Source organism: Homo sapiens, chromosome 1 (genome assembly GCF_000001405.40).
Source record: "Homo sapiens chromosome 1, GRCh38.p14 Primary Assembly".
Lineage (NCBI taxonomy): Eukaryota > Metazoa > Chordata > Mammalia > Primates > Hominidae > Homo > Homo sapiens.
This window is the reverse complement of record NC_000001.11, coordinates 64,092,771-64,118,389: the sequence shown is the minus strand read 5'-3', so window position 1 is coordinate 64,118,389 and position 25,619 is coordinate 64,092,771. Positions and strand designations below refer to the sequence as shown.

Here is a 25,619-nt window from a genome sequence, read left to right as displayed (position 1 = left end):
CCCAAAGTGCTGGGATTACAGGCGTGAGCCACAGCACCCGGCCAGGTCCATCTAATTCTTAACCATTTTGCTATACTGCTAAATACAGAAAGGCCAGGCTTACAATGTTTACATTTATTATGAATTATTAATGACTTATAAACTGAATGGGATCTTGCTTGAATGTTTTAATTATTATTATTATTTTGAGACAGGGTCTCATGCTGTCACCCAGGCAGGAGTGCTGTGGCACAATCACAGCTCACTGCAACCTTGACCTACTGGGCTTGGGTGATCCTCCCACCTTAGCCTCCCGGGTAGCTGGGACCATAAGTGCCACCACTAAACCCAGCAATTTTTGTGTGTTTTTTCTGTAGAGAAAAGGTTTCACCATGTTGCCCAGGCTGGTCTCAAATCCCTGGGCTCAAGTGATCTCCCCGCCTTGAACTCCCAAAGTGTTGGGATTACAGGCATGGGCCAAGGTACCCAGTCCCTGTTTTAATTATTTGTATGAAGACAAAATGCGTGAACTGATCTCCTTGACTAGGAAGTAGATGGTGATCATGTTTGTGACTGAGAATGTCTTGTGGGAGCTGCCTAATATTTGTACAGGAGAACCAGTGTGGTGTTGTGGAAAGAGGACAAGGCTGGAGGAAGGCAGGCACTGTCAGCCTGATAGGGTGATGTTGGGGCATTTTTAAAGCCTCTGTGAGTCTCAGTTTACTCATCAATGAAATGGGAATACTTACTTCCACAGTGCCTGTATCACAGGGTTTTTGTATGATAATGCATGTGAAAATGCTTTTGTGAGCTACAAAATCCTACATGAACACAACAGACAAATCAGGTGTGTGGCATGCAGCAGGTGATGTGAGAAAAAGGCAAATACTGGCAGATCAAACTTCTTACATAAGCTAGAGTAATTTCAGAAAATGTGATTTTTATCATTCTTCCCCCGCTCACTGGTTTGAGAGAAAAAAAAATACTTTTTTTCTTAACCCAAGCCAAATTGAAAATTGAAGCAATGAATAACATTACAAAGTGGGCTCCTGCATACAAAGAATTTTCCATATATTATCTCTATTTGATCCTCAAAATCATGCTAAGAGGAAGATATTTCAAAGATGAGGAAAATGAGGTCGAAGAGATCAAATAGGCTTTATTTGATAACTTGGTGATTAATTGGCCAGATGGGGACTCAATACCAGGTCTGTTATGTCTTTTCCTCTTTACTAAGTTTCCTCTGAGTTGAACTCCCATTCTCCCACACCCCTCTATCCCCTGCCCCAAAAATGTTTAGCAGAAGACAAAGTAACATCATTGACCAATCACTGGTTTTCTTAGTCAATCAGGACTTGGTTGAGGACATATTTATTTTATAGCACTACATAGAGGGTTCAAAAGGCAGGTTAGACTTGATTTCTTCCCTCAAGGAGCATGTAACGTTTCTGGAGAGACAAGATATAAAATGTTGAAATAACATTTCATATGTTATTTCATATGAGAGGCCATGTGTTAAATCATATACCATGGAATCTAAGTGTAACACATTCAGTGCAGGAAAATCCACCGTAGGCTGGGGTGGTCAGGGATAACTTCCTGGAGAAGGCGGAACTTGAGTTTCCTCTCAAAGTCATGGCAGAATGGAAGCCAGGGCCAGATCCCGAGTCCCAGCCAAGTGTTGTCTCACTACACGGATTGGTGCCAAAGGGAAGAGTAGATTATACATTTAAAACGCCCTTTTCCTTTCAATATACCCAGCTCTTCAAGCTGCTGGATGTAATTCCCAGCAAGCAGAGGCAATCTGTGAATGTTTGTTATCTAATAGATTCCTTCTTATGTTAGTTGAAATAACCATCACAATATCAGTAAAATCATCAAGGACAAGGCTTCAGAACAACATATTCCTTTCGTAAAAGAGCTATACTTTTTGAGGTAATACTCATTTAAAAAGGGGTATTCTTTTATGTGGCTTTCCCAAGAATGCAGCCTGGCAATTTAAAAGTCCAAGTAGTAAAGCTTCCCCTTTGGAAACCTCCTTTATATCTAACATGTGCACATTCGCCAGGCATAATGTTAAAAATATTGTGACACAAAATCACCGCCCCATCCTTTCAAGTTTGATGCAGCCAGTTTAATGTTCAATATCACTGTTCGCAGAAATGCTTTTTGATCTGAGGAGATATGAGACACAGCCATCCCACAGCTGGAATGTAAGGATTCTATAGAAGAGCATGGATTAACTTGAAAGTGCGGTGGAACGGGATGGTCTCATCTCATTAGTGACCAAGAGTTCACGAGAAACTTCCATTTGTTTCAACACATTGTAAATCTGGGTCCCCAGTGCCAAACTCTGTATCTGGCATAAAGCAAGTACTCAAGAGATAAATACTGAATCAATGAAGAGCTACGATCTTTCATGATCCGGCACTTTATAATGCTTTTAGAATCCTTATTCTAACCATAATCATGTTGACCATTTATTGGCAGGTGTGTATTAAGCACTTTATAAATATGATCTTATTTGTTCCATACAAGAATCATGCAGAGGCAGGTATTACTCCTCCCATTTAATAGATGAGGAAACTGAGGTTTAGAGAATGAAGCAATTTCCCCAAGTTCACATCCAGTTCCACACAATGCCTAAGCTCATGCTGCCACCCTCTGTTTACAATGCCGCTCAACCTTCAGGTGCATCAGGCAGGAATAGAGATAGAGCAAAAGCAGATGATAATAGCAGTATTAATAAAATAAATATATATTGAGTGCTTATTCTTTTTAAGTGATATATATATATACACATATATATACTTTATCTTATTTATTTATCGTTACAACCATAAGAGGTAAGTTCTATTTACCCTCTTATACAGATGAGTAAACTGAGGCATATATAAGAATTTAAGAAATGCACTTTGGGAGGCTAGGGTGGGAGAATTGCTTAAAGCCAGCAGTTCAAGACCAGCCTGGGCAATAAGACAAGACCTGTCTCTACAAAATAAATAAATAAATAAATAAAAATTAAAAATTAGCCAGGCATGGTGGCATGTGCCTGTAGCCCCAGCTCTTCGGGAGGCTGAGGCAAGAGGATCCCTTGAGCTCAGGAGTTCAAGGCTGCAGTGAGCTATGATTGCACCACTGCACTCCATCCTGGGCAACAGAGCAAGTTATAAAAATAAAAATAAAGAAATGTGTCCAGGGTCACCTAGTTAGTAAATGGTGGAGCAAGGTACCAGATGTGAAACTGTACATATTACTTAAAATCACTTCAATGAAAAAATCCCAACCTAACTGGGCACGTGCCTGTAGTCCCAGCTACTCGGGAGGCTGAGGTAGGGGGATTGCTTGAGTCCAAGAGGTAGACGCTGCAGTGAGCCATGATCGCACCACTGCAATCCAGCCTGGTGACAGAGTGAGACCTCGTCTCAAAAACAAGCAAACAAACAACCATCTTATTTTTACCTATTTTACCTCTACTTAACCAAAATTGGACTATAACAATATAAAAGGCAAACAAGTCTTGTTAACTGACTATTCCAGTTAATGGAGGATTTATCACATATCTGATGATGTCCTGAGCCTTGGCTTACCTCCCTGTGTAAAGAGGAGGTGGGACAAGATAAGGCTGATTCATGGTCCCTGCTAGGAATGCACTTGGATGGCCCTATGATTCCCTCATCGTTCACCACTTCTCAGTGGTACTGAAAGGCAGTTGATACCCGTTTGAATTGTGTCAATCAGAAAAGGCAATGTGCCGGGTTTGTTAATGCCAACCTAAACAACTTCTCAGTTGTTCTGTCAGCACTGTCAATACCCTGGGCCCTGTTGTGGAGCAGAAAAAAAAATGCTTAAGCATGTCTCCCTCACCCTTTCTTTAAAGGTGCTGCAGGGCTGTGGAGCCGGGGTTCTTTCAGTACTACCTGTATCAGGAAGCCAGCTTTGTTGTTCACACCTGCCCTGGGCACCTTTGCATAGTCAACTACTGAGTCTCTCTCCCATCAGTCACTCCTTTAGAAACTGCTCTCTCTCTTCTAAAATTAAGCCTTTGAGCTTTTGCTTCTCAACATTTCATACTGATAGTATCAAAAGGGCATTAACTTTCTAAGAAGCGACATATTAAGCTGAAGAATTCCGATGGTGTGATTTCAATGACCTAACTGCATGTCAGTCATGTTGCACGTTGAGATGGCCTCAAGCAGCTCTAAGAGGGCAGCAATTGTGCAAGAAGCTGACACTTCCAGCTTCAGTCATCAGCTTGGGCTTTCTACTCTCTACCCCTGGTAGGTGAGGCTCATCTTGGCCCCAAGTTCACCGGTCATGGTCCCACATATAGAAGGAGTTAAAGGCAGAGGCACAATTCAGGGGCAGAGGGAGAAAATGGACTGAGTTCCCATGCCAGGAGTCATGCCAAGCACTTTAAAATTTATCCTTTTAATCCACATATATCACCACGAGTAAGAGTGTTTTTATCTTCATTTTATAAATGGGGGCAGGGAGGCGATTGTTAAATGTTAAAGTTGGGCCTCCAACCCAGATCTGTCAGATTCCAAAAGAAAAATCCTTGGATCTGTTTAAACTTTATGCTTTCTTTTTTCTTTCTTTCTTTTTTTTTTTTTTAGGACGAAACACTGGAACTCTCCAGAATAAATTGGTACCTGGGTCTCTTCTGAAGTGAGCTGCTCTTAGGAGCTTCAAATGAGGGTCTTTGAAGCCACATGAAAATTGATGAGTGGTTGTAACATCCAAGCTACCAAATCAGACACACTTGTAATTGTTCCCAATGTGAGTTTTCACCCCAAAGTTCTCTTGTCTCTCTCCCTCATTTTTCCCGAGTACATGGGGGAGAAAGTCATGATGAGGGGATGATCTGCCTTCCAGTTTAAAATCATAAGAATGGCTTGGAAACTTAAGAGCAGTGAGATTCTGGACCATTAACGACCACACTAACTTGCAGCTTCCTCATCTGTACAATGGGGCTAATGACTCAACGGCTATCTCTTCGGCCTACTGCAGAATATAGGGATGGTACCTGTGAAGCCCTTTGTAAACTGCAGAGTGCTATGTCTACTTTCACTGATTCACTCTTTCCATAGATATGGTGTGCCTCTTTGTGAAATGCACGGTGTTAGGCTATTTAGTGAAAACCAATGAAGAAAATACAATCTCTTCCCTTAATGTATGCACATTCTTGAATAGAAAAGACATTTACAGAAATAACTATAAAAGAGTGTAGAAGAGAAGAAAACAGGCACCAGAACAAAGAGAAACAAAAGATGCAGGTTGAGGGGCACCTGAGAGCAGGGTTAAGTGAGGGGATTCAGAAAAACGGAAGAAAGTAGCTTAGGTAAGAGCAGTCTGGAAGATTAAATCTATGGAAGGTGGCAACTGTTTCATTAAATTATGCATTCTTTCATCTATTACCAATTTATCACATGCTTATTATGTACTGGCTACTGTGCAAATTAGTGCGGCAATGTGGAGAGGTGAAATAGGGAATGCTGGCAGGCTGTCCATAGGGAAATGTCCAATGGGAGGCTGGAAATGCAGGTCTTGCATTCGGGAAAAGAGTCAGGGTTGGCTGATAAATTTCAGTCATCCTTATAGAACTGCCAGTTGAACCTATAAGAATTGATGAGCACACTGGGTATGCAGGTGAGATTAGATGGTGAGGGAAGGAGGAAGGGCAGGGACAGAAACTTGTGGGGGAATCCACAAATATGAGGTTGAAAGAGGAAGAGAAGTCAACAAAGCACACTAAAAAGAGTCTCAAAGAGGTGGGAAAAAAGGGTGAAAGATGCTATGAAAGGGTAACCAGCTGCATCCTATTCTACAAAGTTCACTGGTGACTGAGAAGAAACCACTGGGCGTATCAATTAAGACACTGTTAGGGCTCTATGAGTCAGCATACAGATCTCCCAAGTCCAGGACAAGTTACTACAATCATCTGATTCGTGGCCACTAGTAATCATGATAGAATGCCTGGGTTGGAATTCTAGGCCTGCCACTTACTAGCTATGTGACTTGGACAAGTTAACTTTTTTTTTCTGTGCCCCAGTTGGAGATAATACCTTTACTGCTTCATGTGGTTATGATGAGGATCTGATAAACATCACAATAGCACTTACCCAATAGTACACACACAATAGCACATCACAATAGCACTCACCCACAATGGAACTTAGAACAATTATTGATATATGATCAGCTCTCAGTATGTGTAAACTATGACATGCAGGCCAATTCACCTAGAAAGGCCTATTTTCAAAAGCTCATGTCCTCTGAATTGAGGAACCACAGATCAGATCAGCCTCTTCAACCCCCCGCGAGGCTCCCATTCATGTAAGACACCCATGGCTTTGTAATGGCACCCAACGCTCTGGGCTGGCATGAAAATTGTGTGACTCACATCATGTGCCTCCCCAAGAAGGTGAGGCTGTTGCTGCAAAGCTGACTAGTTTGTGGAATGTAAGGACTTTTCATTGATTAGCTTTGGGGAAACCACTGTAAGCAAGTCTTAAACATCATCACATTTGATTGGTTTATAAGTTGTGGCAAGTGAACCCAGGTCTAACACTTAGGAACAAGGGAGAAAAAAAGGAAGATTTTGTTACTTGTAATCAGCTTTTTACTCCACAGATTTTCTGTGAGTTGGGTTCAAAACATTTAATTCCACTTTTTCCCTCTATGTGGCACCTCATTTGTTACCAGGATTTTACAGACGGAGACACAGAAATGTGAAATGAATAGCCCAAGGCTATCTTCTCCCACTACTCCCAGCCCTACCCTCCAGTGTGTAATTGTGGAGCCACGGACAATGTACCAAGGCAGCAAACATCACTGGCTTGAAGATGACTAGTAGCTGTGGTCAGCTTGCTGGGGACCCATGCTCCTGAGGGTTCTTAAGAAGTGTGGGAGGACTCCTAAAGCTGTTGTTGAAATCAGTTTAGATTATGGGACTAGGAACCCGAGGAAGCTAAATTTACTTTACAAGTCAACTGGATTAGCACTAAAGTAATTTTCCTTGTGTAAACCCAATTTTAGGTAATGGATGAGCTAAACTTGGAGCAGGGGGCTGAGACACAGATTTCCTGTGCTGTCGAGCTATTGCAGATCTCAGCAGATAACAAAGCTATTATCCTGGCAGAAATGGAAGCATCCTCAAATCCTGTCAGATGGCAGCATGGACAAAAATTACAAGCAAATGTATTTTTAAGCTGATGCACTTTCTTAAGTCTGGCTCCTAAAAGCAAAACATGCTCTTCTAGGAGAAGTTTTAGTAAAAACATAAGAATGCTGCTGGTAAGGAAATCTCTAGGTGATGCCAGGGACTGACAACAGAGGATTTCTGATAGAAGAAAGAGACAAGGATTTGGACCAAGTTTCTGAATGGAATCATTGTACTTTCTTTTTTTTTTTCTTCCTTCTCCCTCCCCGCTTCACCCCCGACCTCTAGAGTTTCTTAGCAGGCATTTTGGAGGAAAAGATTTGGATCAGAAATTCAGAAATTACCTGGGCTCACAAATATATGGTATGAAAGTATTTTTTAAATGGTTTCAAGTTAAAGGTCTTTACTCCACTGCTCCTAACAGAGTCCCTTAATTTCCTACCTACTCTCAGCCCCTCCAGCACCATCCTGCATTCTGCTTCCAAGATACATGAGCTTTCTGAAGAGCTGGTGAGAATGCTGAAACTTCCTGGCCTTGGTTTCCCATCTGGTAAAATGAGGAAGACCAAAGCTTAACTCTCACAAGGAATATGCAGGTAATGAACACTGTATGATTTAAGAGACCCTTGTGATATATTGAGTACTAACTTTGAAATTACAAACAGAAACAACCCTCCTTTGTTATCCTGTTTTTTAGGCAGGAAGCAAGCAGAAGAAAGATGAGGATGGGAATTAGATGGCTTGCGTTTTAATCTCAGCTGTGATACTTACCAGCTGCCTGTCCTCAGGGTTCAATGTTCAATTGACCTGAATGCAAAACCCAGCTCTATATCTGATAGGCTGTGTGACCTTAGAAAAGTTACTTGCTGCCTCTTACCTTCAGATTCCTCATCATCAAATGGAGAAGGAAGTACTTGCCTCTAGTGGTCTTCCTTCCCACTTTACAATACACTTATGCACATAAAATCTAGTTAAAACAGACAATATGAATAAAAGAATAATTTGATTTTAGAATAGGCATAGGAGAAAAGTGAGCTGCCTTCATTGCTTTGAATATTAGAAGGATTTATCCACTGATTCTAACTGCACTTGTTCATCAACTCCACGAATATTTGATTAAGAGTTATGTTCCTATTGTACATATGGACAATACCTGGCCTCATGGAACAGATAGTGCTATGTGATATGGACAAAGACAGGGAGACTGAGTGTGCAGAGGAGGTCATGTGACCTTTACTGGAGGGATATAGCAAAGGCTTCCTAGAGGAAGTGATGTCTAAATTGACAGGGTTAGCTCTGGTCTGAGTTGTGTCTGTTGGTAGGGCTAATTAATAAGACATTCGGACATCAGAAGCCCCCAAAAGACAACAAATTCCTGCCCATCCCACCCTACCATATAATAAAAGGAAGGCAGGAGGGCCTGAATGAGGTAACTCACACCTATAATCCCAGCACTTTGGAAGGCAGAGCGGAGGACTGCTTGAGCCCACGAGTTTGAGACCAGTCTAGGCAACAAAGTGAGACCCTGTTCTCTACAAAAAAATACAAAAATTAGCTGGGCATGCTGGTGTGTGTCTGTAGTCCAAGCTACTTGGGAGGCTGATGCACGAGGATTGGTTGAACCTGGGAGGTTGAGGTCGCAGTGAGCCGAGATTGTGATTTTTCAGAAAGGATAAGTAACTTTGCCTACAGGGCTCTTCTATAGCACAAGGAAGATTCTATGTGTGAAAGTGCTATCTAGGCACTGTGCACCACATCATAAGTGCAGGAATGGAGCTCAGGGCTTGAGTCAAAAAGATGTGATTTGAGCCCAAACTCTGCCACCTGCTCAGAGTGCTCAGAAAATACCCTGGAGAAGTTACTTATCCTTTCTGAACCTCATTTTCTTCACTTATAATTCCAGCTACAGCAGCCTCATAAGACTGTGAAGATTAAAATTAATAGGAAATGTGTAATTTTTAAGTAAACTTTAATGTAAGCTGTTTTCATGCCAATCTTGTGCATCGGAGCTGATCTATAAGGTCTAGAAGATTTGGCTACCTCTGCTCTGATAAAACTCAGAACAATAGTTGATGCCATGTCTCTCAAACTGGGGTGTCTGTAAGACACACCTAGAGGATGGACTAAAGATGCAGATTGCCAGGAACCACCCCCAGAGATCTAAGCCGGGGGTTTGTATCAGAAGTACCTGTGGAGCTTCTTTTGCATTCCGATTCCTGGCCCAAGCTCTAGAGACTGTGATTCAGTAGCTCTGGGGTGTGTCCAAGATACCTGTGGCCCTTTAAATAAATCATTTTCCCTGGGTTTTCTGGAGATTTGGATTTAGTAGGACTAGGACAGGGTCCTAAACATTATTTTTAACAATCCCCCAAGGGATGCTTACGACCCTGTAAGGGTGACCCATATAACAGAAGCTTGTTGAAACTTGTTGCCAAATGACTTTCTTCTGTATCTCTCTACACATAATCTCCAGAATACAGAATGTCCCTTTGAGACTTCATCTCTCTGACTTTTCCATTTTAGACTGTCATTGCTGAACACTCTTTTGCTAACTTTTTGTTGTAGAATGTTGTATTGGTGTGTGTGTGTGTTATGTGATGGGTGGAGTGGAGGCTCACTCAACCTGACTTGCCTAGGCACTGGGAGCCCCATAGTGATTCCCACGGCCAGCTCTGCCCTTGTCACTTAACTCTTTATCCCAGAAGTGGAGTGTTGAATACACCCAGCAATTTGAATGTTCTGGTTAATTGAGATTTTTAAAGACCACAGTGACTTCACATTTTGTGTCCTAGCACTTAAAGCTAAACAGTGATTTTTTTTTTTTTTTTTTTTTTTTTTTTTTTTTTTTTTAGATGGAGTCTCACTCTGTCGCCCATGCTGGAGTAAAGTGGTGTGATCTCGGCTCACTGCAACCTCTGCCTCCCAGGTTCAAGTGATTATCCTGGCTTAGCCTCCCTAGTAGCTGGGATTACAGGCATGTACCACCATGCCTGGCTAATTTTTGTATTTTTAGTAGAGATGGGGTTTCACCATGTTGGCTAGGCTGGTCTTGAACTCCTGACCTCAGGCCATCCACCCACCTTGGTCTCCCAAAGTGCTGAGATTACAGGCATGAGCCACCATGCCCAGCCTAAACAGTGATTTAAACACACACACACACACACACACACACACACACACACACAACAAGAAAACAAAAAAATCCAGATGTTAAAAATATGCTGCCCAGATCAAGACCAAAATTTATACATCCATATAAAATAATTAAACATGTCATTTATTCACCAGTAAAATGATTATGATTTAATGCAGAGCCAAACTCTGACCACCGATGCTGAATATTTATGGCTGGCTCCCTCAGAACACAGAGGTAGCTGCAGAAATATGCTCTTATTCTACCCTACCTTCACTTGATGAATGATTATTTTACTTAGAGTGAGTGAGACTGAATTTGAAAATACGTCAGAGGTGAGGCCCAGTAAAATTCTATTTATAAATAGGGGTTATTGTAATCAGCTCTAAGTGGGCTTAAAATAGAAATCTAAAAAGTGAATTGTTAAAAAAAAAAACCAATACAATCTTTACTAATCAGAAAAGCACTCAATTTCTGGCACTTTAATGTGCATTCTGAAAATCTATTAACAAAGCTTGACTTAAAAAAAAGACCCCTAGTTCCCTTATTTAAACTTGTGAAAAGAAAGAAAAAAACACAAAGGTGAAACATAATAGGTACTGCATAATGATCACAAGGATGGAACAGCAAAGACGATGAAAAAGGAATTTATGATGATTACCCTGTGAAAACTCTCTGAAGCACATAAAGCTTTTTAATCACCTAAACTAGCTATCATTGCTCATAATAATTCTCACATTTGTATAGCACTTGACAGAGAGCTTTGTGGTTAAGAGAGTCTGAGGCTTAGAGCCAGACATTCTAAGTTCAAATGCTGGCTCTGCTACTTACTGACCACCTGCACTCAAGTAAATTACACAACCTCTCAGTGCCTCACTTTTGTCGTCTGCAAAATGGGGGCAACAACTACTGAAAAGGTTATTCTAAAAATTAAATGAGATAATACGTGTAGAGCACTTAATATAACGCCCAGTACATAACACACATAATAAATTGTACCTCTGACTATTATTATTACTCTATGATCATTTCAACAATCATGTGAGGAAAGTGTTATCATCCTTGTTTTACAGATGAGGAAACCGAAGCTCTTGGGGTAACACGACTTGTGAAACTGCATGCTACTCCTCAGTGGCAGGGTGGGGACTCTGGACAGAGGAACTGGCAAGGTCTTCTAGACCTTTGACGTGCATAAACTGGCAGGTTTACAGAATAACGAGGAAAACAAAGTGAAACAAAAGACTGTACCCGTGTGCTAAGAATTTATTACCCGCACATCAAAAAACTTATCCATCACGATCAAGCTGGCTTCATCCCTGGGATGCAAAGCTGGCTCAGCATATGCAAATCAATAAACATAATCCGTCACATAAACAGAACCAAAGACAAAAACCACATGGTTATCTCAGTAGATGCAGAAAAGGCCTTTGATAAAATTCAACATCCCTTCATGTTAAAAACTCAATAAACTAGATATTGATGGAACATATCTCAAAATAAAAGAGCTGTTTATGACAAACCCACAGCCAATATCATATTGAATGGGCAAAAGCTGGAAGCATTCCCTTTGAATACTAGTACAAGGTAAGGATGCCCTCTTCTCACCACTCTATTCAACATAGTATTGAAGTTTTGGCCAGGGCAATCGGGCAAGAGAAAGACAAAAAGCATATTCTAATAGGAAGAGAGAGAGTCAAATTGTCTCTATTTGCAGACAACATGATTGTATATTTAGAAAACCCCATCATCTCACCCCAAAAACTCCTTAAGCTGGTGAGCAACTTCAGCAAAGTCTCAGGATACAAAATCAATGTGCTAAAATCACAAGCATTCCTTTACACCAACAATAGACAAGCAGGGAGCCAAATCATGAATGAAGTCCCATTCACAATTGCTACAAAGAGAATAAAATACCTAGGAATACAGCTAACAAGGGATGTGAAGGACCTTTTCAAGGAGAACTACAAACTACTGCTCAAGGAAATAAGAGAGGACACAAACAAATGGAAAAACATTCCATCCTCATGGATAGGAAGAATCAATATCATGAAAATGGCCATACTGTCCAACGTAATTTATAGATTCAATGCTATCCTCATCAAGCTACCATTGACGTTCTTCACAGAATTAGAAAAAAAACTACTTTAAATTTCATATGGAATCAAAGAAGACCCTGTATAGCTAAGACAAGCCTAAGCAAAAAGAACAAAGCTGGAGGCATCAAGCTACCTGACTTCAAACTATACTACAGGCTACAGTAACCAAAACAGCATGGTACTGGTACCAAAACAAACATATAGACCAATGGAACAGAACAGAGACCTCAGAAATAACACCACACATCTAAAACCATCTGATCTTTGACAAACCTGACAAAAACAAGCGATCGGGAAATGATCTCCTATTCATTAAATGTTTCTGGGAAAACTGTCTAGCCACGTGCAGAAAACTGAAACTGGATCACCCTTCCTTATACCTTATACAAAAATTAACTTAGGATGGATTAAAGACTTAAATGTAAAGCCCCAAACCATAAAAACCCTAGAAGAAAACCTAGGCAATACCATTCAGGACATAGGCATGGGCAAAGACTTCATAATGAAAACGCCAAAAGCAATTGCAGCAAAAGCCATAATTGACAAATGGGATGTAATTAAACTAAAGAGCTTCTGCACAGCAAAAGAAGCTATCATCAGAGTGAACAGGCAACCTACAGAATGGGAGAAAAATTTTGCGATCTATCCATCCAACAAAGGTCTAATATCCAGCATCTATAAGGAACTTAAACAAATTGACAAGAAAAAAATAACCCCATCAAAAAGTGGGTGAAAAATATGAACAGACACTTCTCAAAAGAAGACATTTACATGGCCAAGAAACATGAAAAAAGCTCAATATCACTGATCATTAGAGAAATGCAAATCAAAATCACAATGAGATACCATCTCACACCAGTCAGAATGGCGATTATTAAAAAGTCAAGAAACAATAGATGCTAGTGAGGTTGTGGAGAAATAGGAACACTTTTATACTGTTAATGGGAACGTAAATTAGTTCAACCATTGTGGAAGACAGTACAGCAATTCCTCAAGGACCTAGAACCAGAAATAACATTTGACCCAGCAGCCCCATTACTGGGTATATGCCCAAAGGAATATAAAATATTCTACTATAAAGACACATGCACACATATGTTTATTGCAGCACTATTTACAATAGCAAAGACATGGAACTAACCCAAATGCCCATCAATGATAGACTGGATAAAGAAAATGTGGTACATATACACCATGGAATACTATGCAGCCATAAAAAGGAATGAGATCATGCCCTTTGCAGGGTCATGGATGAAGCTGGAAGCCATCATTCTCAGCAAACTATCACAAGAACAGAAAACCAAACACCACATGTTCTCACTCATAAGTGGCAGCTGAACCATGATAACACATGGACACAGGGAGGGGAACAGCACACACCAGGGCCTATTGAAGGGTGGGGGTGAGGGGAGGGAACTTAGAGGACGGGTCAATAGGTGCAGCAAACCACCATGGCACATGTATGCCTGTGTAACAAATCTGCGTGTTCTATACATGTATCCCGGAACTTAAAGTAAAATAAAAAAAAAAAAGAATTTATTACCCATGAGGGGACAGGATGTATATGACTTCATGCTATATTGATTAGTAGAGGACTGGGCACACTTGTGATTTTCCTTTGGACTCATCAGCATCCTCCTTGCAAAGTCCTGTCACACATGGCTTTAAGTAAAAATAATAATGATAATAAATTAAAAACCACCTACAAGAGGACAGCTGAGTGTGGTAGAGACAGCTGCCCACAGCACCTAGGGTGTGGATAAGAACCCTGACTCTTCTATGTACTAGTTTTAGGATCTTGAACAAGTTGCTTCACCCCTCTAAGCCTGAGTTTCTTCATCTATAATAGGGGATAATAATAGTAAAGATGTTTTAAGAAATGTCCTAAGGGTAATATAAGATAACATAGATATATAGCCTAGTGCAGAGTTTCTCAATCTCAGCGCTATTGACGTTTGGGGCTGGAGAGTTGTTTGTTGGAGCGAGCTGGCCTGTGCACTGTACGATATTTAGCAGCATCTCTGGCCTTAACCTACTAGATGCTCATATAATACCTTTCCAGTTGTGATAACCAAAAATGTTTGTAGACATTGCAAAGTGTTCCCTGGAAGGCAAAATCCCCCTCACTAGAGAACTGCTGACCTTGCCCAAAGCCTGGCACAAATGGGTGGTCAATGAATGTTAATTCTTTCCCTCCTTTTAGATAGAAACCTTTTTTTTTTAAGGTGAAGTGAGACACAACTAACTTGGAGTCATGTTAATTCAGATAATGGGAGAACTGAAATCTATATTTTCAGTAATACAGAAAAATTAACAGTGTCCACAGTTATTTAGAGAACACTGTGTATTCACTTATGAAAACATACTACTTATAAGGACTCATTTGAAAGTCATTCACATTCAGTTAATATACTAAGTTCTCAAAGCCTCAGAAAACACCTTTAAATCACCAACCATTTCAGGCAAATTTTAATTGATAATTGCAGTTAAATATATTGAAATGGCAATTATATATTTTTTAAGAAACAAAGCAACTATTTCTGACTTTGTCCTCTACTGCAGATTAACTTTCCCTTTAAATAAGCAGCTTAATGAAGTTTTGTTTCACTCACATATCTAGAGGATATTTTATAAATGTTGCATTGAGATTTTCTAGTTCCTTACTTTTTTTTTTTTGCATTTGAACTTTTTTTTAAATTTTATTATTATTATACTTTAAGTTTTAGGGTACATGTGCACAACGTGCCATCCCCATCAAGCTACCAATGACTTTCTTCACAGAATTGGAAAATACTACTTTAAAGTTCATATGGAACCAAAAAAGAGCCCACATCGCCAAGTCAGTCCTTACTAACTTCTTAAGCAGGAAATTCTTTTCCATAGCGAACCTAACATCTTCCTGCTGCTTTTTTAGCCTGTTTCCTATTGTTCAAACTTCAGTGGAAAATGAGACCAGATGTTCATAAGAAGAGCCTCATTCTTGTGTACCTGGAGTTTGTAAGTAACACCAGGCCTGGCCTGGGACTTCCTCATCTGGACCAATGATTCTCAACAGGGGGGTGATTGTCATCCCAGGGGACAGCTGGCGCTGTCTGGAGACACTTTTGGTTGTCGAAATTGGGGAGAAAGGGGTTGCTGGCATCCAGTGCGTGGAGGCCAGGGATGCTGCTAAGCAGCCTGTAATACACAGGGCAGCCCCTACAACAAGGAATTATTATCCAGGTTCAAGTGTCAAGGTTAAAAAAATCCTGCCCTAGACCATGGCTCGGAGATGAATTGAGCAGATTAACAATGAAGGAACTGTTTTAAAAAAGCGAAGGCGATCAAACCCTACTTGTCTGGCTTTGAGATAGATACCTGTTGCATTCTTCAGGAAGATTTTTCTAAGCCCACCTTTGTGCATATTCCCATCACAGCACTTGTATCACCAGCACAATGCTGGCATACAGTGGACATTTATAAAAGACAGGTGAATAAAAGCACAGCTATGAGGCCCAACAATGAATCTCCAGGGTTCCTTAACCTCCCTCTCTGGACACATCAATGTAAGCTCTGAGGGACTGAGAGGGACTTCTCTTTGTGAGAAGAAAGGAAGTGGGTGTGAAGGAGCTGGGTTTGCTTGTCTCACCCTTCCACTGTCTACACCAGGAGTTGAAGTTTATTTTCCCTCTTTGCCTCACACTGACAGGGATAGAGGCAATAGATTTGGTTTCATTTACCATTTCACTTAATCGCCTGAAATGTAAAAACCGCACAAACAGATCTGATTCCATACTTTCCACGCTCCTTCTTGTGGTGCTGCTAAGCGGAGCTGTTAAAACAAACAGGAGAAATGTGGAGGTCAGGGTTCTGCTACCTACTTCTAGTCTACTTAGCTATTGGTGCCTCTGTCTCTCATTCTCTCCAGACCTCTCCCCAGCCCTATTTGCACCTCTTGAGAGCAGGACCTTCTTTTTCTCATCACCTGAATACAGGAAGTGTTATAGTTATTAATGGGGACCAGCTCTTAATGTTTGACCAATAACTATATAGCATACACCTAAAAGCAGGAGTCTGTAACAAGTTGAAAGGAGATGACAATTGATCTTAAAGCATTACCCAAGCAATTTCTAAGATGCCTTTTTATTCCTTGATTCTGCCAAACATGATTCTGTCACAAAGCTTTTAGGTTAGCTGTCCCGTTTGCCTGGAATTATCTGCCTCTCTCTCAGATAAACGTATGGCTCACTCTCTCACTTCATTCAAGCCTTTGCCCAAATGCCACCTTATCGGAGAGGCCTCCTCTAATCAACCCATGTAAAGTAGCAACCTCTACCACATCACTCTCTTTCTACTCATTGTGATTTCTGTCTCTTCTTAAGCATCCTTGGGTTCCCCCTCAAGAATGTAAGCTCCACAAGCAATAGAGCAGAATTTGTGCCTGTTTCACTGTCATATCCTTCGTTCTTAGAACAGGAGCTGGCTCACAGTAGGTGCTCAGTAAATATCTGTGGGCTGAAGGAAAATCTCAGGGCCCTTCTTCGTCAGGAGCTTGTACCATTATGTCTCTACCTCCTCCCCAACCCACCACGCATGATGGGTTATTTAGTGCATTAGTTAATCCCTCCTCTCTTAATCAATTCCACATGTCCATATCTGGTTATTACTTAGTGTTTATCAAAACAGCTTAACTATGGGCTCCCAAAGACTCCTTAGGAATGAGACAGGACCATGGTGAACAGAGACTCCCCTGTTCCCTACCCCGTGGCACTATTAGCCTCTCCACGGCCTCAGGCATGGAGTCCCTTGATGTCCCAGTTTAAGGTTTTTACTCTACTGTGGGCATAAAACTCTTCCCTGTTTACTTTCTGCACAGAGCAGCTCAACGGCTTTTTTAGAACCATTGTAGAAGGTAAAAGTAAAAATTTCTACCCATAAAACCATGTAAAATACCCTCATGATTTCATCTGTGACCCTGAACCTTTCTTTTTCTCCAAATCCCTTTTATTTTTGTAAAAGAATGCACTACGTGCCAGCATCTGGCTTGTAAAAATAAATACAGTGACTGGCTTTCCCAAGTAACTTGGCCTAATCATCCAGTGCTCCTGAAAAGACCCGTCTCCTGAGATGCAGCAATCTTATGAACGATCTATTCCATGGTCCAGGCACAGAGGGGGCACTTACATGGGTTGAATTACACACCCCAGAGTATCTGCATTTAGAATGAGGACTAACTCTTGACTCCTATAGAATTAGATGTTTTCCTGTGGTGGGTAGATTGCTAATGCTTGATATTCCCTTAAAACACATTTGTTACGACTCAGCTATGTGTAGGCTTGATCATTTGAGGGCAGGCACTAGTAGGGGTTTGATATATTCCCAGATGAGTTTTACATCTTTTACTTAAAAACAAAATGAAGGCTTGGAGTATTTATCAAAATTAAGTGATGCTGATATAAAGTAAATAGATATCACTATCTTTAAATCAAGGTATCAATTATTAACATTTGGGGATATTACTGATAGGCTTATTTTGTTTGCTTATTTCTTGAGACAAGGTCTTTCTCTGTCACCTAGGCTGGAGTGCAGTGGTGTGATCACAGCTCACTGCAGCCTCAACCTCCTGGGTTCAAGCGATCCTCCCACCTGTGCCTCCTGAGTAGCTGGGACTATATGAACACACTGCTATGCCTAGCTTATTTTTTATTTTTTATTTTTAGTAGAGATGAGGTCTTGCCATGTTGCCCAGGCTGGTCTCAAACTCCTGGTCTCAAGCTATCCTTCCAGCTCAGCTTTCCAAAGTGCTGGGATTACAGACACGAGCCACCACACATGGTCAACTTTTTTTTAAAAAAAATACCAAATCAATAAAGTCAACTGAATTGAATTTAACTCAACATCTATTGTGTATGATTTGTAATATTTTTAAATTTTTCCAAAATTTTAAAATAGCCAGTTAGCTGAAAAATAAACTCAACTTTTTGAGACAGAGTCTCACTCTGTTGCCCAGGCTGGACTGCAGTGGTGTGATCTTGGCTCACTGCAACCTCCACCTCCTGGGTTTAAGCAATTCTCCTGCCTCAGCCTCCTGAGTAGCTGGGACTACAGGCACGCGCCACCACGTCCAGCTAATTTTTGTATTTTTTAGTAGAGATGGGTTTTCACCATATTGGCCAGCTGGTCTTGGACTCTTGACCTTGTGATCCACCTGCCTCGGCCTCCCAAAGTGCTGGGATTACAGGCGTGAGCCACTGCACCCGGCCTATTTGATCTTTATTTTCAACAATAAACCCACAAACTTAGTTAAGCAAAATGAGCATGTGTTACTTGAAATTTTAATTATTTTACAAATAACTGTTAACTAAATTTACTGTCGGAAAAAGACATTACTCAATCTGCAAACTTTAAAGCATTAGGTCAGGCAACTAATTTATTTTTATCATTATTTCTTTATTTACAGCCAACTAGAAAATATAAACATTTTATTTTTGCTTTTATAGTTTCCATTTGGAACACAAATGCTCTGGAGCAGAATGTTCCTCTGGCGGCCTCTGATGAGTTCAGATGCTCCGATGACTTTTGTTATCCTTCTCACACCACCGTGACAAGTATAATAGCAGGTGGCATTGACTGAGCACTTAGCAGCTATTCATATTTACTGAGGGCTTCCTATGGACCAGGCACTGTGCTTTGCAACAAACCAGCATATTGGAAGGATCGCCAGAACTGAACACAGATTTAACATATCAATCTGTGGGGCTTTGGCAAGATTCTTCACCACTCTGAGGCTCAATTGCCTGATCCCTGATGTGGAGGTAGTATTAACAGTCTTGCCTGCCTCGGGGAGTTGTTTGTGATGACATGCACTGTGAGCAGGATATGGCTCCATGGTGGGAGTATACGCTAATGTGTAAGATTACAGGTTCACTCCTCAGCAGCCCCACTTTATAATCCCAGAAGAAGGCCTGCGAGAACACAATCTCTGCTTCACTTCCTGGTGTATCTCCAGCACTGGGGCCCGCCAGTAAACATTTCCTGATGACATGAATAACATGTGTGAAAGTGCTTTATGAACTGTAAAACAGGGCAAAATTCCATTATATTATTGATAACATTAAATTTCCTTCAGCAACTTATTTCACCCATAGCCCCGATATTTATTTTTCATCATTGTTGGGGCAACTATTTATTTAGTACTGAGAAAATTATTTCAGGCTGATGAAGTCCTGAAGTCTAAAAGGATCTATTTCAGTTCTTTATCAATATCACAGAGCTGATTCTGCCCCACAGTCAGCTGGGATGAAAGAAGAGGCCTGTAGTACCTTGGGGAACAGTAATCCCCTCTGGCTGGACTATGCAGGACTGATCCTGAAGAATCCCAAAGCCCTGGAACCACTATAAACAGGGAGGTGTGACTGACAACTGTGACAACATGGGACAAATTACACAGACTCATACCAAAGCCAGGTCTGCACCTAGCAAAGTGCTTTAAGTTCTGGGCTGCACTGGAGCCCTAGTTTGTGCTTAAGCTTAGTTTGCCTGAGAATTCTGGCATGTGGAGGGGCAGCAGAGGTGAGCCAGTGAGAGTCTTAAGAGAGACCGCGGAACCTCCAAGACCAGACCTCACACTAGGGGCCAAGTCAGAAACATGCTTTTCTATTTGCTGCAAGCACAAATGAAGACCTTGTGGTACCTGAACTGCACAGCCCGGGCCCCTTCTTCCCCATTTCAGAGGGGGTTTGGGACTGAGTTGGCAGGGAGCCTACCTCTGGGTGGGGACTCAGTGCATCTAAAAGCACAAATACTTGTGATAAGGGTCTTTCACCCTCACTTCTCACTCACAGCACAAGCCTCCAGATCCAGTAAATCAGGGGCTTTCACTTTATTTCATCACTGCCCTGGAGTCTCCTCAAATTACCTGGAACGAATTTGAAAGGGCTGAAGTTCCTGTCGAGTGGCAGAAATATTGATTTGTGACAAGCACATGATCCAGGCTGAGGGTTAAATATAGGGGAGTGTGAGGCAGATGCTAAGTCTTACAGATGAGTAGCAATTGTGTGTAAATTGACGGAGAACGCAGCCTTTTGCATAAATTTGTCCATGGACTAGCACTTACTATTCAGCAACTGCCAATCCTTCATCTCTCAAATCCTTCAATCTCTGAAACAAAACCCACCTAAATTCTCAAATTGTCCACCACAGCTCACCCTCCAGAGGTTCTGGAGCTTGAGGAACATGACAGCTGGGTTTAGGAAAACCACTTTTCACTGAATGAGAACACTGGGTTTGGAAATCTGGCTTCCAGTCCTGGCTCTGCCATAACCAGCTCCAGAAATGTAGGCAATTTGCTTCACCTTATTCTTTTTTTTTCCCTTGGTAAAATGGAAATAATTATACCTAGGACAAAATAACTTTGTTCTAGGTAAAGAAAGCATTGTCTCAAGGCCTTATATATATATATACTATATGAAATATGTATATATGTATGTATTTCAAAAATGCATAAATACAATCTTGTCTGTGATAAACAGAATAAAGGCCCCTAAAAATGTGAATGTCCTAATCCCCAGAGCATTTGAATATGTTACATGGCAAGTGGGAATTAAGGCTGCAGATGGCATTAAGATCAGTAATCAGCTGACCTCAAAATAAGGAGATTCTCCTGAATTTTTTGGGTGGGTCCAGTGGAATATAAACATCCTTTAAATATGGAGGAAAGAGGCAGAAAGTCAGAATGTTACAATGATGCAGTGTTCAGAAGGATTCCACTGTCTGTTGCTGACTGAATTTGGAAGAGGGCTGCTAGCCAAGAAATGCAAGTCACCTCTAAAGCCTGGAAATGACAAAAAAAAAATGGATTCTCCCCTTGAGCCTCCAAAAGGAACCTTAATTTTAGGCCAGTGAGGCCCATTTTGGACTTCTGACTTTCAAAACTGTAAGACAGTCAACAAGTTTGTGCTACTTTTTTAGAGTAGCCATTAAAAAATTAATTTAGCAAATGAGGAAACTAACATACCACCCATAAGACTGTACCATTGTCATCATTGTTTACATTGTCAGAATCCTTGACATCATCATCATTATCATCATCAAGACTTTATTTCATGGCTATTATTAAAAAAAAAAAAACAGATGCTGGTGAGGTTGTGGAGAAAAAAAGGAATGCGTATACACTGTTGGTGGGAGTGTAAATTAGTTCAACCACTGTGGAAGACAGTATGGTGATTCCTCAAAGACCTAAAGACAGAAATACCATTAGACTCAGCAATTCCATTACTAGGTATATACCCAAAGGAATATAAATCATTCTATTATAAAGACATGTGCATGAGTATGTTCATTACAGCACTATTCACAATAGCAAAGTCATGGAATCAACCCAAATACCCATCAATGATAGACTGGACAAAGAAAATGTGGCATGTATAATATACTCCATGGAATACAATGCAGCCATAAAAAAGAATGAGATCATATTCTTTGCAGGGCCATGGACGGAGCTGGAGGCCATTATCCTTAGCAAACCAATGCAGGAACAGAAAAGCAGATACCACATGTTCTCACTTGTAAGTAGGAGCTAAATGATGAGAACACATGGACACATGGAGGAGAACAACACACAGTGGGGCCTATTGGAGGGTGGAGAGTGGGAGGAGGGAGAGGATCAGGAAAAATAACTAATGTATACTAGGCTTAATATCTGGCTGACGAAATAATCTGTACAACAAACCCCATGACACACATTTACCTATGTAAAAACCCTGCACATCCTGCACAAGTACCCCTGAAATTTAAAGTAAAAAATTAAAAAAAAAAGACTTTATTTCAAATACATCCTGGGAATGAGATTTCAAGCAATGTATAATTTTGCCAAAATTTTCAGAAACCAAATCAGATGGTATCTCATGGAGTGAGTGACAAAGGGATTTTATCTTTAAGAATGATATCATATTGTTTCTATGCAAACACTGATGGTATTGTTCACATTATTTATTTATTTTACAAACCCTTTGTTCCTAGTACAAAAGTATACTTCAGAGCAAATTATTTTAGAATAGTATTAAGAGGTTTATTTAGAATATCTTTGTTAACATAGCTAAAAGATCTAAGGACTAATCTTGGCTCTACCAATTATAAACTTCATAATTTATAGCCTATCACTTTACTTCTTTGGCCACGGTCTCTCTTTCTGTAAAACATTTCATGTTTGAACTAGATACTCTTCCTTAGATCACTTCCAGTTTTAAGAATGTTGAGTTTAATTTCTTGTTTTATATAATGGGAGACCATGACCTAGAGGAAGTAAGTTTTATGTCTAATTTCTAATAATTCAGATATTTTTGGGGTAAGCTTTTACAATTGAAGTATAATATACATACATAATTCTGCACAAATGATAACTATAGAATTCAATTAATTTTTGCAAAGTGAACACAGCTCTGTAACTACCACCTAAATAAAGATATCAAATGTTATGGCACCCAGGAACCTCCCCTATGACTTTCCTGGTCATTCCCTTCAAGAGGTAACTATTATTTTGATTTCTATCACAAATGGGAATTAACATGGCATTCACCCATGTTGCTGCCTGTAACTATAATTCATTACTTTTTGTTGCTGTATATTATTTTGCTGTATGAATACATAGTACCATAATTATCTATCTTATTGCTAGTAGAAATTTGGGCTATTACCATTTGGAGACCATAATAACTTAGATTTCTCTTCTCAAGTTAATGTTTGTAAAATATAAAGCATTTTGTTCTATTTAATTGAACTTAGTATCCCTGGCTTATTTATTTTGAACGTTCCTATTTTACATTTTCTGTCCAGCAGGGAGAAGTCTAAGAGACAAAATCAATAAGGCTAGAGAAGATTGGCTTTCTCTGGATACTGTACCTTATCCATGTGAACAGGAGATTTTATAGTGACTTGTTTCAGTATAAACAAAGAGGACTGGAATAACTGATTGCTGAGGACTCCAATCATGGCAGCACTGTATGATATGAATGTAAAATAAGCATGACTGACTGCAACAAGAAGGCAGCCTGAATCTACCTGAAGAATCCTCAGGCCATCCGATTTGATGATATAGTCAGTAGGATTGTTTGGTTTGCTAGTAACATAAATTCAAAGCTTCAGGAAGGAGACTGGGCACAGCGGCTCATGCCTGTAATCCCAGCACTTTGGGAGGCCAAGGCGAGTGGATCATTTGAGGCCAGCAGTTCTAGACCAGCCTGGCCAATATGGTGAAACGCCGTCTCTACTAAAAATACAAAAATCAGCTGGGCATGGTGGCACATGCTTATAATCCCATCTACTCAGGAGGCTGAGGCATAAGAATCGCTTGAACCCAAGAGGTGGAGGTTGCAGTGAGCCAAGATTGTGCCACTATACTCCAGCCTGGGTGACAGAGCAAGACTCTGTCTCAAACAAAACAAAACAAAACAAAACAAAACAAAACAAAAACAACAAAACACACACACACAAACACCAAAGCTTCAGGAAAAAAAAGGCAGACTAAATTATATGGTAAGTAGGCTGTTTCATTGAACTGAAATGCAAAAGTAAACCGGAGATGTAAGTTGTCACAAGATCTCTCTTCTTGGTTCTCTTTCCACTGCTCAATCCATACAGTGAGTAAAATTTTACGTCTTAACTCTCTCCTGCTCCTCATTCCTAGCTTGGCCCACTCAAGACCAGACTTGAATTAAACATCAAAATCATGGTTTCTAGAGCCCCAGTTTCTGGATGAGATAGGGTAGAGGAATGACAGAGAATGATTCCCAGAGAAAGGGGTGTTGTTTGTTAAAGGCAAAACATGCTTGCAATAGACATAGAAAACTTTGGAGAGGGACAGTCTATGGTAGTTATTTAAGAAGAGTTACTTAGTATTTCATGAATTATGAGTCAGACTTTTTGAGTCAAACTTATGTTAAGAGAGGGTTTCATTTATGACAAGCAATAGTTGGCATTGTTTAATCCTGTGGTATAGTAGAAAGAACAGCTTTGAAATTTGATAGGCCTAGCTTTCAATGTAAGTTCTGCCACTTCTGGCTGAGTTTCACTGGATAAGTGATTTAACCTTTCTGTAAAATGGGCATAATAATAATGCCCACCTTGTAAAGTTGCTTTGAGAATTAAAGACAGATGTACAAGAATTGAGCACACTGGTACATAATTTTTTCTTCCTGCCCTTTTCCAGGGTTCAAAGGTGAAGTGGCATAATAAATTAGAGAGGGGTGGAGAGGAAGATTAAACCAGATTTAGAAGTGTTGCAGTCTGGCACTGAGATCTCTAGCTGTGGGGTCTTAGGCAAGTTACCGTATCTCACTGTTTTTCAGTTTCCTGACAAACAAAAAAAAAGAGGTTCAGGACCGGGGGTTTCTATTGCTTTTGGGAGGCCAAGGGTTCCCTAGAAGTGCTTAGGTATTGCTGAGTGTGTGTGTGTGTGGTAGGAGGTAGTATGGGGGGAGGATAAATAGCAAGGAAAGTACCATTTGGTAGAATTTCTCCTACCTCCCACCCCTCTTTTAAAAATCTGTTTTATAAATTGAGGTTTTGTGTCAGATTTGTATTGGGGAAAGAAAAGGTTTGCTGTTTAAAAAATTAAAAAGCATCTTGAAAAATACCAGATGAGATGCTCTCTCAAGTCTTTCTTGCTCTAAAACATGAGGCTCTGCTAAATGCCTTCCATTGTTAAGGCCGAGCTACCCCCAGAGCCAGAGGCAGCCTGGACATTTTCAGCAACCCATTAAGTCATCTATTCTGGGACAGCAGGAAAAACAAACCCTACAAAGGGCAGTGGCTAAAACAGAAAGAGAGAGAGACTCATCCAGCTTGTCCAGAAAACAAACCCAACACATCCTCTCAAGATGCATCCTTAATATAATATAGGAAATGTCATCAGGACCATAAAGTTGTCTCTTTCAAAGTGGATGAACAACCCGGCGTTGCTTAGATGACAGCTTAGGGTTTCCCGGCTTCAACAGAGGACAGCTCAAGAGCCCAAAGCTGTCCTAAGTGGTCACCCTTACTAAAACAGTTGGCCCTGTGTGGTAACTGTGAAAACATCTATGTCTGTCATAAGCCCCACCGATGATGGATGAGTCTAAACAGAAGATATTCACAGGGGAATAAGGGATCTAGCTTGGGCATTTTGTGCTCTGTTGAGCTAGGTAGGAAGCAGAATGAAAAGCAGATTATTCTCTTGATAAGAAATGCATTCTTAGAGCAACAACCACACGAGGAAAAGAAAGGCTCCATT

The 25,619-nt window shown here is 40.5% G+C and overlaps 1 protein-coding gene and 1 long non-coding RNA gene across 7 annotated transcripts in view; one reads left to right on the top strand and one right to left on the bottom strand.

Moving 5' to 3' along the window:
• Positions 1–25,619, bottom strand: part of ROR1 (receptor tyrosine kinase like orphan receptor 1) — a 407,482-nt gene that overhangs the window by 63,109 nt on the left and 318,754 nt on the right. The window lies entirely within an intron of this gene.
• ROR1-AS1 (ROR1 antisense RNA 1) lies at positions 4,599–23,948 on the top strand. Of its 2 annotated transcripts, NR_110666.1 has the most exons (6): positions 6,185–6,444; positions 7,021–7,278; positions 7,433–7,507; positions 7,597–7,740; positions 9,997–10,070; positions 23,186–23,948. It is a non-coding gene; the product is annotated as an ROR1 antisense RNA 1 (long non-coding RNA). The 2 variants fall into 2 exon arrangements; NR_110665.1 differs by lacking the exons at positions 6,185–6,444; positions 7,021–7,278; positions 9,997–10,070; positions 23,186–23,948 and adding exons at positions 4,599–4,761; positions 11,351–13,068.